This window comes from Homo sapiens, chromosome 5 (genome assembly GCF_000001405.40).
Source record: "Homo sapiens chromosome 5, GRCh38.p14 Primary Assembly".
Classification (NCBI taxonomy): Eukaryota; Metazoa; Chordata; class Mammalia; order Primates; family Hominidae; genus Homo; species Homo sapiens.
Genome location: NC_000005.10, coordinates 78,781,737 through 78,797,002, shown reverse-complemented (window position 1 = coordinate 78,797,002; position 15,266 = coordinate 78,781,737). Strand labels below are relative to the sequence as shown.

At 40.3% G+C, this 15,266-nt stretch overlaps 1 protein-coding gene across 3 annotated transcripts in view; it reads left to right on the top strand.

Annotated features, from left to right (window-relative positions):
• The window catches only part of ARSB (arylsulfatase B), a 208,750-nt gene that overhangs the window by 188,956 nt on the left and 4,528 nt on the right, over nucleotides 1-15,266 (top strand). For 2 of the 3 annotated variants that reach the window (XM_011543390.2, NM_000046.5), the window contains one exon: nucleotides 15,029-15,151. In XM_011543390.2, the coding sequence (XP_011541692.1) occupies nucleotides 15,029-15,151 (123 nt within the window). Of the gene's footprint in view, nucleotides 1-13,505; nucleotides 13,687-15,028; nucleotides 15,152-15,266 lie in introns of those variants that run through there. The other variant, XR_001742066.3, reaches the window with a different exon arrangement.

Genomic DNA, 15,266 nt, shown 5'->3' with positions numbered 1-15,266 from the left:
GGGAGGCTGAGGCAGGAGAATGGCGTGAACCCGGGAGGCGGAGCTTGCAGTGAGCCGAGATCCCGCCACTGCACTCCAGCCTGGGCGACAGAGCGAGACTCTGTCTCAAAAAAAAAAAAAAAAGAGATCGAGACCATCCTGGCCAACATGGTGAAACCCCGTCTCTACTAAAAATACAAAAATTAGCTGGGCATGGTGGCGTGTGCCTGTAGTCCCAGCTACTCGGGAGGCTGAGGCAGGAGAATCACTTGAACCCAGGAGGCAGAGGTTGCAGTGAGCCAAGATTGTGCCACCGCACTCCAGCCTGGTGACAGAGTGAGACTCCGTCAAAAAAAAAAGAATGGCAGGTAGAAATGAGACTCCCAAAGATGAACCCAGATGGAGCATTTTCTCTATGCCAGGCACTGCAGTAAGTGCTTTGCACGCATTGTCTCACTTAGAGACTGAAAAGGGGAAGGACACCTTAGAAAGAAGAAAATTTCAAAAAGAGAGACCCTCCTTCTGCCTTGATCATATTTGTCACTCTTTCTTTACCTATTGCATTGGCCTATCCATAGGGCTCTTCCTGGATCCTCCTGGGGAATTGGTATGTCTTTTGGAATCTCCTAGCACTTTGTGCGTTTTATTTATTCAGGCAACAAATGTTTATTCCACTATTTTAGAATTTATGGTGGTTAAACAAAATTATTTTATTATTACCTGCTGAACTCCAGCTTATTCATTCTGAAGATTTAGTGTCTAACACATATAGTGATCAACAACATAGGTATTTGTTTAGTAAGTAAATGAATAATATGAAATAAGTTATTTTTTCAAGACTCAAATTTAAACCAAAGCATGAGAAGAGCTCTTGTCAACCTATTTCAGGTATAGGTGGCTTAATTTACTACAACGGTCATGAGTTGAGGATTCATTGAATGGTTGTTTTCTGTCATTTTTGGTTTACACTGCTCAATCAACACTGCTGGCTGATGTCAGACCTTAACCAATTGTTGAAGTTCCCTGTAACACCAGCACATTCTCTGAATACTTACTATGCACAATGCAATAATGATTAACATTTGAACTCTGTCTAGGCTGAGTAAGCCACATCAAAGCTCTTTTTTCACTAGGACTTTTAAAATATCAGATATGAACTGAGTGAGTAGGTGTCAGAGAAATTGACTTTGTAAACTGAAAATCATAAACTTAAGATTCATTTGAAATACGTCATGTGGAGTGCATATATAAAAATTATGAGCATTTTAATTTGTCCCCTGTAGGTAATAAATAACATCTGCAATATTCCTCCTCACCTTTTTCTGATTAGCTTCATGTCTGGCATATTTTTCCCAACACTCCTGTTTCGTGTTGTAAGAATTTCTCCAAGGACAGACAGGATTCTAAGTAAGTAGTGAGGGTCTAACAGAAAACTTGCAGCAACCAGGTTCAAGTTCAGAAATGAGGGAAGTATTTAATGGTGGTCAGGCCTCCCTATTTTACTCTTCTTTGGTACACGCTGGCAGAGCTGCACAGGCCCCGAGGGGTGGCAGTGCCTGTGAAAGGCACAGTGCCTGTGAAAGGTCTATAATCTAGACCCACAAGCCAGCCCCCTCCTCCCCAAAGCTGGTGTGGCTCCCAGGCCCCCTCACTCCCCACATGTACCTGCACCCACATGGGGGCATCCAGCAGAGTGCCCTAGGCCACCAGCATCCCCCTAGGGTCCATGGAGCTGGAGGGACCTCTGGAGACTCCCAAAGATGAACCAAGGTGGACATTGGCCACCTCTGCTGGGCAGCTGCATAGAGTTTGTTTGGGAGGAAGATTTTGTCCTTAAAAGTTTGAAAACCACTGCCTTAACTGTGTAATTTCAATAACTACTATATGATGATGATAACAATAATAGCTAACATTTATTGAGAGCTTACTCTCTGCCAGGGACCCTATTATGGGCTTTCAATGTACTATCTCATTTAATTCTCCCAAAAAAATCTCTGAGGCACTTACTGATTTTATCAGCTAGAAAACAGAGGCTAAGTAAAATGCCCATGGTTACAGAGTTATGAAGTAGGAGAGCTGGCCCATTTAGTCTGGCTCCAAAGCCAGGGATCTCAATCTTGCTGCTAATACTGCTATTAATTAGCTCTGGTAAAAGTGAAGAGGCAGCCTGGACAACTGGAAAACAGAACAGCACATGTTTAGTAAGTGCCTATGACAGTCAGGCGTTAAATGATGCTTGAGCCTTAGTTACTCTGAGCTTCACTCTATCCCTCTCACCCCAGTGGCCTCACCTAATTTTGGAAAAGTTGGACAAGCAGTGAGACAGACAGGGTAAAAAGAAAAAATTGGCTTGTAAATACTCCCCGAATATCCTGCCTGATAAAACATTCTTCCTCCTCTCCCTCCTCCTCCTTCCTATCACCTCTCCCTTTGCCTTTCTCCCCAACCCCACCTCTCTTCTTTGTTTTCTGTTTTCTTTTTGCCTCCCTTATCGGTCCTGTCTTCTTTGCCTTGTGTTAGATTCTTTAGGCTCCTATTTCAGGACAGGTCACATTTACTCTTGCTTCTACACTAGGACACACCCTCCCCTCTTACTACTCAGTGTTAGTTCACTGGCCTCAATAAACACTGGATGTTTTTATTTTATTTCATGTTTGTGCACTTGAAGACTATTGAATTCATTCTGTGTGTTTTTTTTTCCAAAATGATATATGAATTAGAATTGCCCTTTTGAGCCAAGAACCCTGGTGGGTTTTGTTTTGTTTTTTAACAGAGCCGCAAGCCCAGGAATGAGAAATCAGTTCATAAAATCAATAGCAAGCAAATTTAGAATCCACTACAGCACCTATACCCAGCTTATAGTAAGCCTGAGAAGCAGACTCCTACAGGATGAGATTGATTCCAGCAGTGTGGTTAGATATTTGGAAATGCCTAAAGAAATGTTTATGCTCAAGTTAAGGTTGCAGCAGAAACCATATAACTTGAGAATTTCTGGGGCCTAAATGTACGGGCTCTACAGAATGTACTACGTTGCTTTGTGCCTCTGCCCAGATCACTATTCTCCTTTTCCACTTTCCTCCCATGCTGCCCCCAGCACACGCATACTTGCCTCATCGCCTCAAAAAAAAAATAATAAAAATTGAAATCTTTCTAATGCCAATTCAGCCTTCCAGTTTCATCTGAGACATCACTTCTTCAGGGAGATCTTCTCCTTTCCCTAGACTAATCAAGGTCCCCACCTTGCCTTCCTAGAGCCCCCATCCCTAGCCACAACACCCATCAAAATTGATCATCACTGCTTGTCTCCTTGCCTTCCTCCACCTGGCTGTGTGCCCAGCAACTAGGACTAGTTCAAGAAGTATTTGTTGACGAAGTAAATCAATTTAGTTTGGGGGGACCATGGCCACAGGATCAAGACACTTCTCAGCTCTCTGCTGTCTCCTTACTCTTGCTTTCCAGACTCTGATTCCCGAGCAGTTGGGAAGACATCTTTTTGTTTCTTCCATTCTGAAATTCACTGACCAACTGCGTACATCCATGCTCATAAACATTTGATTTAGCTATAAAATCTATTTTAAATAAAAATGCCAATTAGAGTAGAAACTTCCTGCTCCTCCCTGTCCCCACTATGTGTAAGGTAAGTGTGGAGGTGGGAAAAAGAGCGTTGTCTTCTAAGGAGTGGGAGTTGAATGTCTCCTAGGTGCCCACTGCAGGCAGCATGAAAATAATAGGATGGATACTATAGGAGGCACATTTGAGATCTTTCAAATTGCTCCAGCTGACCATCCATGACATGGGCTACCTGGTGAGGCAGGAAGTCCTGTGTGGGACTGTCCTAGGGCAATAGCTGTGCAAAGACCATCATAAGTGCAACAGATGCTGCTGAAGATGGTAATTTCAGGCAGCCTATGTTAGGCCAGGGCTCAGCTGGGCTAGACTAAGGGAACCAAAGACAGGTATGAAAGGGACTGTAGGCTCCAGTGACCCCAAGGCAGAACCAGAATTGGGAATCTCTGTTCTATTGCACTCTGTTTTTACAATTCTGGCCAGACCTGTAGTGTGGCATACCACTACAGGTTATGTGGGGAAAATGTTACCACATATTCCCCACATAATTTTCTAACAATACCTCGTTCCCTTTGCAGCTGGTTCAGATCTCACAGTCATAAGAGGGTTGAGCAGTTGGTCACACCTTGACTTGACAGCTGTCAGTCAGAGGCCATAGGTTCAACATATATTGAAATGATTTCTTTCAGTTGGTCAGTTGGTTTTACCTATTTGCCTGGGCTTATGGCGACCACCGTGGAAATTCAAGAGACCTGTACCCAGAATCCGTGCACTTATGGTGCACAGAATGCTCACTACGTGTAGAATCTTATTTCCTCTTCACACTCATTCTATTTAGGTAGTATTTTGGTTCTCATTTTTGCATACAAGGAAACAGGAACTCAGAGTGGTTAAATGACTTTATAAGATAAGAAAAAGAGCTTGTTCTAAAGGCTATTGAAATGCCAGTGATTGATTTCTCTGAGTTACTTTTCAGAACTAGAGTGATGGCATAGGGCAAGCTTATTCAAACCCATGGCCCACGGGCTGCACGTGGCCCAGGATGGCCTTGAATGCGTAACTTTTTTTTTTTTTTTTTGCGACAGATTCTCACTCTGTCGTCCAGGCTGGAGTACAGTGATGCGATCTCGGCTCGCTGCAACCTCCACCTCCTGGGTTCAAGTGCTTCTCATGCCTCAGCCTCCTGAGTAGCTGGGATTACAGGCATGCACCGTCACACCTGGCTAATTTTTGTATTTTTAGTAGAGATGGGGTTTTACCACAGTGGCCCGGCTGGTCTCGAACTCCTGGCCTCAAGTGATCTGCCCGCCTCAGCCTCCCAAAGTGCTGGGATTACAGGCGTGAGCCACCATGCCTGTAAACTTTCTGAAAATTCATAAGCTTTCTTAAAACATTATGAGTTTTCTTGCAATTTCTTTTTTTTTTTAGCTCATCAGCTGTCATTAGTGTTAGTGTATTTTATGTGTGGCCCAAGACAATTCTTCTTCTTCCAGTGTGGCTCAAGGAAGCCAGAAGATTGGACACGCCTGGCATACGGCATACCACTGCGCCATCCAAAACAGCTGTGCACAGCCCCACTTCCCAGCTGTTAGGGGCTTTTTTCATCTTCAAAAATTAAGCAAAGAGGTTCACTAAAGCATCAGTTCAGAGTGTGGGGCTTCTAGTCAGTGTATTTTAGGGAATTAATTTTAGGAAGAAACTATTTTTAGGTCCACGATTATTTTTAAAAACAAAAATCTAGACAACAGTGCATACATGCACGTCTGGATATGTAAGCCCTTACCACACAGCGAGATGAGAGGGTGGCCTTGGCCAAAGCCTGCAGTTGTTGGGACATTCAAAACCATGAGCAGACTGGAGATTTGAGCCACATGTGCACCAGCGCAGTCGCTCAGATGCGGCCTGGGTGCGCTGATCTGGGAGGGGGACTCACGGGCTCTGGGTCTCTGACTAGCTGGCACATGAAGGACCTTAATGACTTGAACCTCACTTTCAGTTTGAGATCCTTTGAACTTTTGTTAGAGTGAGCCATAAAGAAGTGGTCAGCCAATCAGATGTTTAGTATAAACTGAACTTTAGCGTAAATAAGCTTTAAGAGACACATTTGATTTACATAATAAATAAACAAGCTACTTTTAGGAACTTTTAAGTACAAAAGTTGAAGATAGTTGCTAATTAAACCTAAATCTTGCCTGTACATTAAAAACATACTCGACAGAATTTCCAGTTTAGAAAACTCCTCAAGAACCAAATTTCTGGGACAGCTGGGGTGTTTTTCTCACTTAGCCCAAGTGAGTAAGTTTTACTGTAAGTAAATATGCATACATCATTAAGTGAAGGTGGCATCACACTGGCAGGGAAAGTCAGATGGGTTATTGGCGAAGAATGAAATTTTGCTGATCTTCATAAATTGTGAAATGATAAAAAACAAATAGAACTCAGTAGAAATGAATGGCAGGCCAAACAAACCGGACAGAAAAGGGGCTACAGACTAAAAGTGGTAAATTACAGCTTCTACACATAAATCCTTTTTACCCCAACCCTCTTTAAATTCTGGAACATAAATGGGGGAACAAATATAGACCCTTTCTAAATCCACACCAGAGAAGTGACTTTGGTTGTTTTTTTGTTTGGTTTTATTTTGTTTTTCTGATATAATAGTGATTTTTGCCTCCTTTCCTCCTCTTTGTAAGGTCTTGGGTAGAAGAGGTTGTAAAAGAAAATGAAACTATATTATACTGATGATAATAGCTACCATTCAGTGATAGTTATTGACAGATGTTAATATCTGTTTCATAGAGCAAGGATTAAATGAGTTATACATAGAACACTTAAAGCAGTGTTTTATGTTTATAAGCATGTAGTATTTAAGTATTAGATATTATTATCTTTAATGTTGGCAATTGTCTTAACAATATAACAGATATTCTACTAAGCACTATATATGTCTTATCTCACTTGCTACTGTTATGTTAATTTTATAGATAGTAATCTGAGGCATGGGAAGTTTAAAAAGTTGCCTGAGATTGCACGGGTGGTAATAACTGCGCACTTTCTATATGCTGTACTTAGTACTAGACATTTTTAATGTATCGTTGCATTTAGACCTCACAACAATACTGAAACTGAGGCCTAGGGAGGCCAGCTAACACCAAGATCACACAGCCAGTGAGTGATGGAGCTGAGATTCAAACCCAAGCAGTCTGGCTCCAAAAGTGCATGTTCTATGCTACTGTGTACTATGGCCTCCTGGAGAAGGGCTGGTAGGATGCCACTTCAATGATACAGCCCTTTCCTCCATCCTCATTACCATCCCTAGCACTGCTTTCCTTCAGGGTCACAACAGTAGGTCTTCCTAAGCCCCATTCTCCAATCATGTCCAGCTCATTGTACTTGAGCAGCATTTCGGAGAGGAAATGCCTCTAGACCCTCCCGTTCACCCTACAGCGCTGTTTGTGCCACGCTTCCCTCACCACCCTGCCAAGCCCTTGCTTGCACACCTCTAATGCCAGAAAATCATCCTCCCAAGGAAACTCATTCTTTCTGTCTTGGGGAAGCTCTGTCTGGTGGAAACATATTCCTCATATTGACCCAAATGGTGCTATGTGCCTTTAACCTTTCTGTGCCTCAGTTTATTCATCCATGGGACTTTCACGAGGATTAAATTAGACACCAAGTGCTTAAAACAATGCCTCATCTGTATTATGTTTGCTAAATATTAGCTGCTATTACTATTTTATTATTATTAGTTCTCTCTATGGCTTCCACCCCAAATGCTTTATAGTACAAATTGAGTCCTTCTTGAATTCACTCTTTTTCACCCTTTTGTCAGCTGCAGCCTGCCCTCCAGGATATGATGGTGGCCTTTGTGATGACTTTGTAGACTCAATACCATATCACTCCAGTCTGCTGTACATGCATCGTTAAGAACTGTCTTTCTGGGATATTGCTTTTGTACATCATTTCCCTCTTCAGAAGCCAAACTGGTTCTTGGTTGCTTTCATACTTTGGATGGATTATTAGATTCTCTACTAATTTCTTGCTGATCTCTACCCATGCTCTTCTCTCTGAGCATGAAAACTTCCTGTCTTCCATGGACTTTCCTCTTCTTATTTGCAGGTCAGCTCACATATTTATTTTGTTTAAACATTATGTAGTTAAAAGTCTCAAAGGCTATATACGAAAATGTTAACAGCAACTAATAAATTAACAGGTCATTTTTATTTTCCTTTTCATGTTTTTCTGTGTTTTCCAACATATATACAACAAACATATAAATTGCATTGTTATGAAAAATACTGTGTTTCCTAAAAGTACAATCATAGACTGTATTATACAATACTTTCCAAGGTCAAGAGGATGCCTTGTGCAGTCAAGAGAGTAGGATTGCCTTTCATGAAGATCAGAAGTATCTCCAGCCCTCCCCTCAGTCCCTTCCCTTTTTGGTGAACCCATTGGAATCACTAATTAGTGTATTTCAAACTATATATATTAGCCATAGACCCTTTCTTCAAACAAAAATGTAGGCCAGGTGTGGTGGCTCACACTTATAATACCTCAGCACTTTGGGAAGCCAAGGTGGGAGGATGGCTTGAGGCCAGGAGTTTCAGACCAGCCAGGTAACGTAGGGAAACAATTACAAAAATCATAGTGGCCTCTTTAAAAATTTTTTTTCTAATTTTTTTAAAATTAGCTAGGTATGGTAGCACATGCCTGTGGTCCTAACCACTCAGGAGGCTGAGGTAGGAGGATCATTTGAGCCAAGAAGTTCAAGGCTGCAGTAAGCTAGTAAGCTGTGATCTCACCACTGTATTTTAGCCTGAGCAACAGTGTAAGACCTTATCTCAAAAAATAAAAAAATAAATTAAAAAAATGTAGAGAAGTACAACATATTTAGCAGATATTATAGATTCTTCCTTAAGGAGTTGAACTCTGTTGAAATGGAGATGGTGAACCTGGACCCCGACCCACTAACTCACCATCCTATTTCAAGACAACTTCTGAGTTACTTCCAGAACCTACTTTGGGTCTGGAGAACACAGTTCTCCACTGAAACCACCACCAGGCCACCTCATTCTGGTAACAAACAACTCCCAATTTCTAGGGGTTGCTCAGATAAGGAGTGCTGTAAGTTTACTACGTATTATGTAACATATTTCATCAGTCCTAAAATTTTCTGCTGATCTCCTTTTTCCCATCCAAAATCAATACACACGGCTAATCCATCTTATAGCTGAATATTTCTGTCTGGCCAGAAAGCTTTATTATCTCAGAGGTGGCTTTCAGCTCAGAAGGAAACGAGAAAAATTTGTTTGTTTATACTTCTCTCTTAACTCCCTAGCTTCTGCTCATTCATCAAGCTAATAGATGGAATATTTGGCTCTTCTGATTCGCCATCTGAAACCCTCTGCTCTCTTGGCTTCTGTAATGTCCTGTTTAACTGGTTCACTTCCTCATATTATTTTCCTCTCTACTCCGTTTGCTGTTTTCCTTTGGCCCTCAGTGCTCTGTTTCTGGGCGTCTGCTTTCTTGCTTCCCTCCCTAGGCAGCGAATCCACTTCTAGGGTTAAGCAATCACTGCATTGCGGGTGGTGCTTAGTGTGTGCCTCAGTCTGTCAGACAGAGGCCAGTCCTATAGCTCCAATATGTTGTGGAGCCGTCTACCTTGAGCTCAAGTTAATTCCTAAAATCAGTATGTCTCATTCCAGAATCCTTTACTCCCCACTATTTCCCGTCTGAACATCTCTATTCTGCCAATATCAACAGTATTCTCTCAATCACCAAACTCAAAACCTTGGATTTTATTTATCTTTTATATTCTTTTGTCACCAAATATCTTGGCTTTCACCTTGGGAACTTCTCTTAGATGTCTCTTTGCTCATCACTTCATGTCATGGAATTCCAGAACACAGTGCTGTATTACCACATACAGTTGTTAATCAACAAATATTTCTTAAATTGGCATCTAGTCCAACTCTGTCAACGAAATTTTAAAAGTTTGTTAACATTCTAAGAAACCTCTGCCTCCTGTCTTGGGTCCTGACAGTTTATCCAATACACTGTCAAGTTAATAGTGAAAACACCCAGTGCGGCCAAAGCAATCTTGGGAAAAAATAAAAGTGGGAGGACTCAGGCTTGCTGATTTCTAAGGTTACTACTAAGCTTGACAAGTCCTGGTAGTGTGGTACTGGCATAAGAATAGACATAGATCAGCTATGTGTGTGGCTCACACCTGTAATCCCAGCACTTTGGGAGGCTGGATCGCTTGAGGCCAGGAGCTAGAGACCAGCCTGGCCAACATAGTGAAACCTGTATCTATATAGATAGATAGATAGATAGATAGATAGATAGATAGATAGATAGATGGTTATCGATTTTTTAATAACTATAGATCAATGGAATGGCATCGAGAGTCCAGAAATAAACCCTCATGCTTATGGTCAATTGGGTTTTGACAAGGATACCAAGACAATTAAAGAGGAAAAAAATACTCTCTCAGACAAATGGTTCTGGAGACAACTGAGATATCTATATACAAAAGGATGAAATTGGGTGGGTATGGTGGCTCATGCCTGTAATCCCAGCACTTTGGAAGGCTGGAGTGAGAGGATTGCTTGAGGCCAGAAGACAAGCCTGGGTAACATTGCAAGACCCCCATCTCTATAAAAAATCAGCTGGGCATGATGGCATGTGCCTGTAGTCCCCGCTATTCTGGAGGCTAAGGTGAGAGGATCGCTTGAGCCTAGGAGTTTAAGGATGCAGTGAGCTAAAGCTAAGATCGCACTCCAGCCTGGGTGATGGAGTGAGATCCTGTCTCTAAAAAGAATAAAATTGAGAATGTAATACAGAACACATTTCAGCCATTTTTTAATGCTCTGCAGTTACTCGAAAGGTTAAACATAGACTTACCATATAACTCAGCAATTCTGCTTCTAGATATATACCCAAGAGAGGTGAAGATGTACATCCACACTGAAATTGTACATGAATGTTAATGGTACATTACTCGTAGTCGCCAAAAAGTATAAACAAAGAAGTGTCCATTAATTGATGAATAAAGAAAATGTGGTATATTTTTGGCAATATACAGGAATGAAAGGAATATTATTCATTATTTAAAAAGAATGAAGTACTGATACGTGCTACAAAATGAATGAACCTTGAGAACATTATGCCAAGTGAAAGAAGCCAGACACGAAAGGCCACATATTGTCTGATCCTATTTATATAAAATGTCCAGAATAGGTAAATCCAGAGCACAAAGTGGGTTAAGGGTTGCCTAGGGCTGGAGGGTGTGGGAGTAAATGGGGATTAACTGCCAATGGTGCAGGGTTTCTTTCTGGGGTGATAAAAATGTTCTAAAATATGTTACAGTGATGGTTATACAACTTTGTGAATATATCATACTAAAAACCATAGAATTTTACACTAAAAATGGGTGAATTTGATCATATGTGAACTATATGATATACTCTTTAAAAAATATATTTAAATTCCTCTTATGTCTCCCTATTGATTAGAAGGAAAAGTTGCCACCTCTCTGACCCTTCTTCTGCAGCCACATCTCCCTCTGACCATAATCAAGAAGTACTCCTTGCATTTATGAACTCATGTCATTAGATCGGGCCCATCCAGATAAATCTGAGATAATCCTCACATCTTACAGGTCTTACCTATAATCATACCTGCAGAGTCCCTTATGGCATGGAAGGTGATGTATTCATAGGTTCTGGGAGATTAGGATGTTGACATTTTGAGGAACCATTATCCTGCCTATCATACCCTGTTTTATACTTCTTTCTATTGCATAAGAGTCTCACACATGTTGACAGATGGATGGAAAAAATATATTATGCAGGTACTAACAGCAGCAACAATGACAGCTAAAAACTGAGCTATCTATACATCAGATAAAGTAGATTTAAAGGAGGAAAGCACTATTAGAATTAAAGAGGGAGTTTTCAAAATAATTATCCAGTCATAGAAGAGATTTTTAACATACCTCTCTCAGTAACTGATAGAACAAGCAAACAAACAAAAATGTCCATAAAGATATAAAAGATTTGAACACCATAGTTAACAAACTTGACCTAAATGATATACAGAGCATTGAGCCCAACAACTTCAGACTACATGTTTTTTACATTGGTGCTTGGATAATTCATAGTCCGTATTAGAAATGAAAATGTTGAATATCTGTTATTCAAAAGGTTATAAAAAAAATAACAAATTAAGCCCAAAGAAAATAAAAGGAGGGAAATAATAAAGATAAAAGAAGTTAATGAAATAGAAAACAAACATACTACAGATAGGATCTACAAGGCCAAAAGTTTGTTGTTTGAAAAGACCAATAAAATCAGGCCAGGTGCGGTGACTCACGCCTGTAATCCCAGCACTTTGGGAGGCCAAGGCGGGCGGATCATGAGGTCAGGAGTTCCAGACCAGCCTGGCCAACATGGTGAAACTCTGTCTCTACTAAAAATACAAAAAATTAGCTGGGCATGGTGGCATGCACCTGTAATCCCAGCTACTCAGGAGGCTGAGGCAGGAGAATTGCTTGAACTCCAGAGGCAGAGGTTGCAGTGAGCCAAGATCGCACCACTGCACTCCAGCCTGGGTGACAGAGCAAGACTCCATCTAAAAAAAAAAAAAAAAAAAGACTAATAAAATCAATTAAACACTAGCAAAACGTATCTTGGGAAAAAATGAAAAGCATGAATTGCCAATATCAGGAATAAACAGGCAATATTACTACAGATGCTACAAACATTTAAAAGATAATACAAAACAAAAGTTCACATGTACTACACAAATTCCTAATAAAATACAAGTTATCAAAACTGACAAAGGGAGAAATAGAAGATCTAAATGGTCCTATACCTGCTCAGGAAATTAAATCAATAATTTCAAACCTTCCCACAAAGAAAACTCTAGGCCTAGATGGCTTTACCAACAAACTCTTTTTTGTGGATGAATAGTATTCCATTGTGTCTATATATCACATTTTCTTTATCCATTCATCTATTGATGGACACTTAGGTTGATTCCATATCTTGACTATTATAAATAGTGTTGCAATAAACATGGAGGTGCAGGTAACCCTTTAGTATACCGATTTCCTTTCGTTTGGATAAATACCTAGTGGTGGGATTACTGCACTGTATGGTAGTTCTATTTTTAATTTTTTGAGGAACCTCCATACTGTCTTCCATAATACCTTTACTAATTTACACTCCCACCAACAGTACACACATACATTTTTAAAGCATAAAACAGTGCTATATATTATCCCTTGGCACATATGTATTCTGCATTTTAAAATGGCTGAAGGATGCACTGAAGTCACAATAGCAGCAGCCTCTAGAGGAGTAAATGAAAGGACAGGGTTTGAGGATAAGAACAAAGGAGACTTCAACTTCATTTTTATTGTCCAGTTTCTTTTATTTTTTTTAAAAAAAGGCAAACATGGTAAAATGTTAACATCTGTTCATTTTGGGTGATGGCTCATAGGGTGTTAGTCATATTATTCTTTGTAATTTTCCCTTTGTTTAATTTCTCAAAATGAAAACAATAAAGTCAAGATAATAGTATCTTTCATAGTTTAGTCTTAGGCTTATTTATTGTTTAGGTATTTTATGTTCCTGTTTGTCTTAAGAAAAAAATGTGTATAAATATAAGTATAGATGAGATAGTTAAATTTCCTTTTTTTGTTTGTGTTCACAAAACATGCTTGTTTTATTTAACATTCTTTGGTATCAAAATGTGGCCTTCATACAAACTTGTGAGGAGTAAACCATGAGGGTTCACAGTTTTACCACAGTCTGTATGTTAGCAACCATTTCCTGTGATAGACATGCTCATGCACCTCAAGTACTAGAAGTATCCATTTGTATTGGAGCCAAAATATCCGCAAGCAGAGAAACAAGAAGTCAAAAATATTTTCCTCTTTGGTGCTAAAGATTTGCTGCTGTGTGATTGTTGAGACTGAAGTTCTGAAAGCACCAGTGTTTGCCGGATCTGTCTCCAGCTTGTCTCTACAAGGTCATTTCCAAAAGACTGTCAAAAGAATGGCATGTCCCGCCTTTTCCACCACCGACACACCCTGCATGAAAACCCCAGGAGCACAGAAGTCCTGCTTGGGTGAGGATAAGGGCTCTCTCAAAGTCTATTATCGAAGGAAGGCAGACAGATGGGTTAACCACTCCAATGGAGTCTATACTTTTACAGACATATCACATATTATGACAATTAATTATTAGGCTGGTGGTTCAGCAACCTTTCGAAGTGATCCCAAGATGATTGCTGTGACCATATTTGAAAAGCTAACAGATAAATGTGGGCTTAAAACAGACTATATGTTATTCAGCTAGGCCTCAACCATAGGCATAAGTAGGAGTGAGGTGAGGGCCCTTGTGGACCCACCAGGGTCTTCCACAAGAGTAGAACTCTTGCCTTGTTCACTCCTTTCATAATCAGGCAAAGGAAGGAGTTATTCAAAAGGAGGAACTGAGCATGTTCAACCGAGACCCTTTTTGCTGTCCAATTTCCAGCCAGCCTGTCACCTGGATATATGTAAGCACTCTGGTCTGCTCTTGGCTGTGTGCTCTAAGGGAGCCCACTGGGTGTTCAGCAAGATCAATGGTGAGGATTAAATCTTTCTAAGTCAAGGGTCAGTTACAAACAAGATCTCTCTGCTACAGATCTGAAGCTGTATTCTCTCCAGTCAATTTTGTCAGTAACAAAAGCAGTATTTTTTGTTCCATCTGTCTATCTTCTACCTCTTAATTGGTTTCAAACTTAAGAGGTGGTAGAGATTAGTAATTGCTCCCCACAAAAGCAAAAAACCAACCTGATGATCAATTAAGATCTCAAAAATGATAAATTAATATAATCCATGATACCAGCCAAAAATTTGTATACCAAATTTGTTCTTACCCCCATAGTTATCCTGTCTGAATAGTTAACTGAGCACTGCTCACTTTTAGATTCCTTAAGAGTTGTTAAAAAATAAGTCTTTGTACTCTATCATGGCATGCATGAACTCTCATAGCTTGAAATGACTGCATGAAAATGTACATTTTATAATTTCTTATACTATTTACATAGGTATAAGTATACACAGAAAGTGTGTTTAAATGTTTAACAGCCAAAAACAAAAACCAAAAAAAAGTCACTCTGCTGTAACAGAACACTGTTCTGCATATGGCTAGCTGTACATTGGCAGAACATAGCGATTTTAAGGATGAATTAGTGTTGTAATCTCTTTGGGATTTCCTTTATATTTGCGGTGGTTTATGACTGACATTTCATGTAACTATAGCTTTCTGTTTGGATTTAATAAAAGATTCATTTCTGTGGCAAGATACACATTTGCACTCCAGTGTTGAATAAAAGCTACTGTTCTGCAAGGGTATAAAATGCTGATTTATAACAACACGTTCCAATAACAGTGATCTAATTCTTTCAAACTATTTCTTCCCAGGTCCCAGGAACAGCATGGCTCCAGCAAAGGATGACTCTTCTCTTCCAGAATATTCAGCCTTTAACACATCTGTCCATGCTGCAATTAGACATGGAAATTGGAAACTCCTCACGGGCTACCCAGGTAGAGTCCTTAGCTTAGCAAACTTCCCTTCCCGTGGTAGACAAAGCAGGGCTGTGTCCTCAGGGCAGTATCTCCAGTCTATCTGCCCTCCTGGGATTTGATTCCCACGGCCATT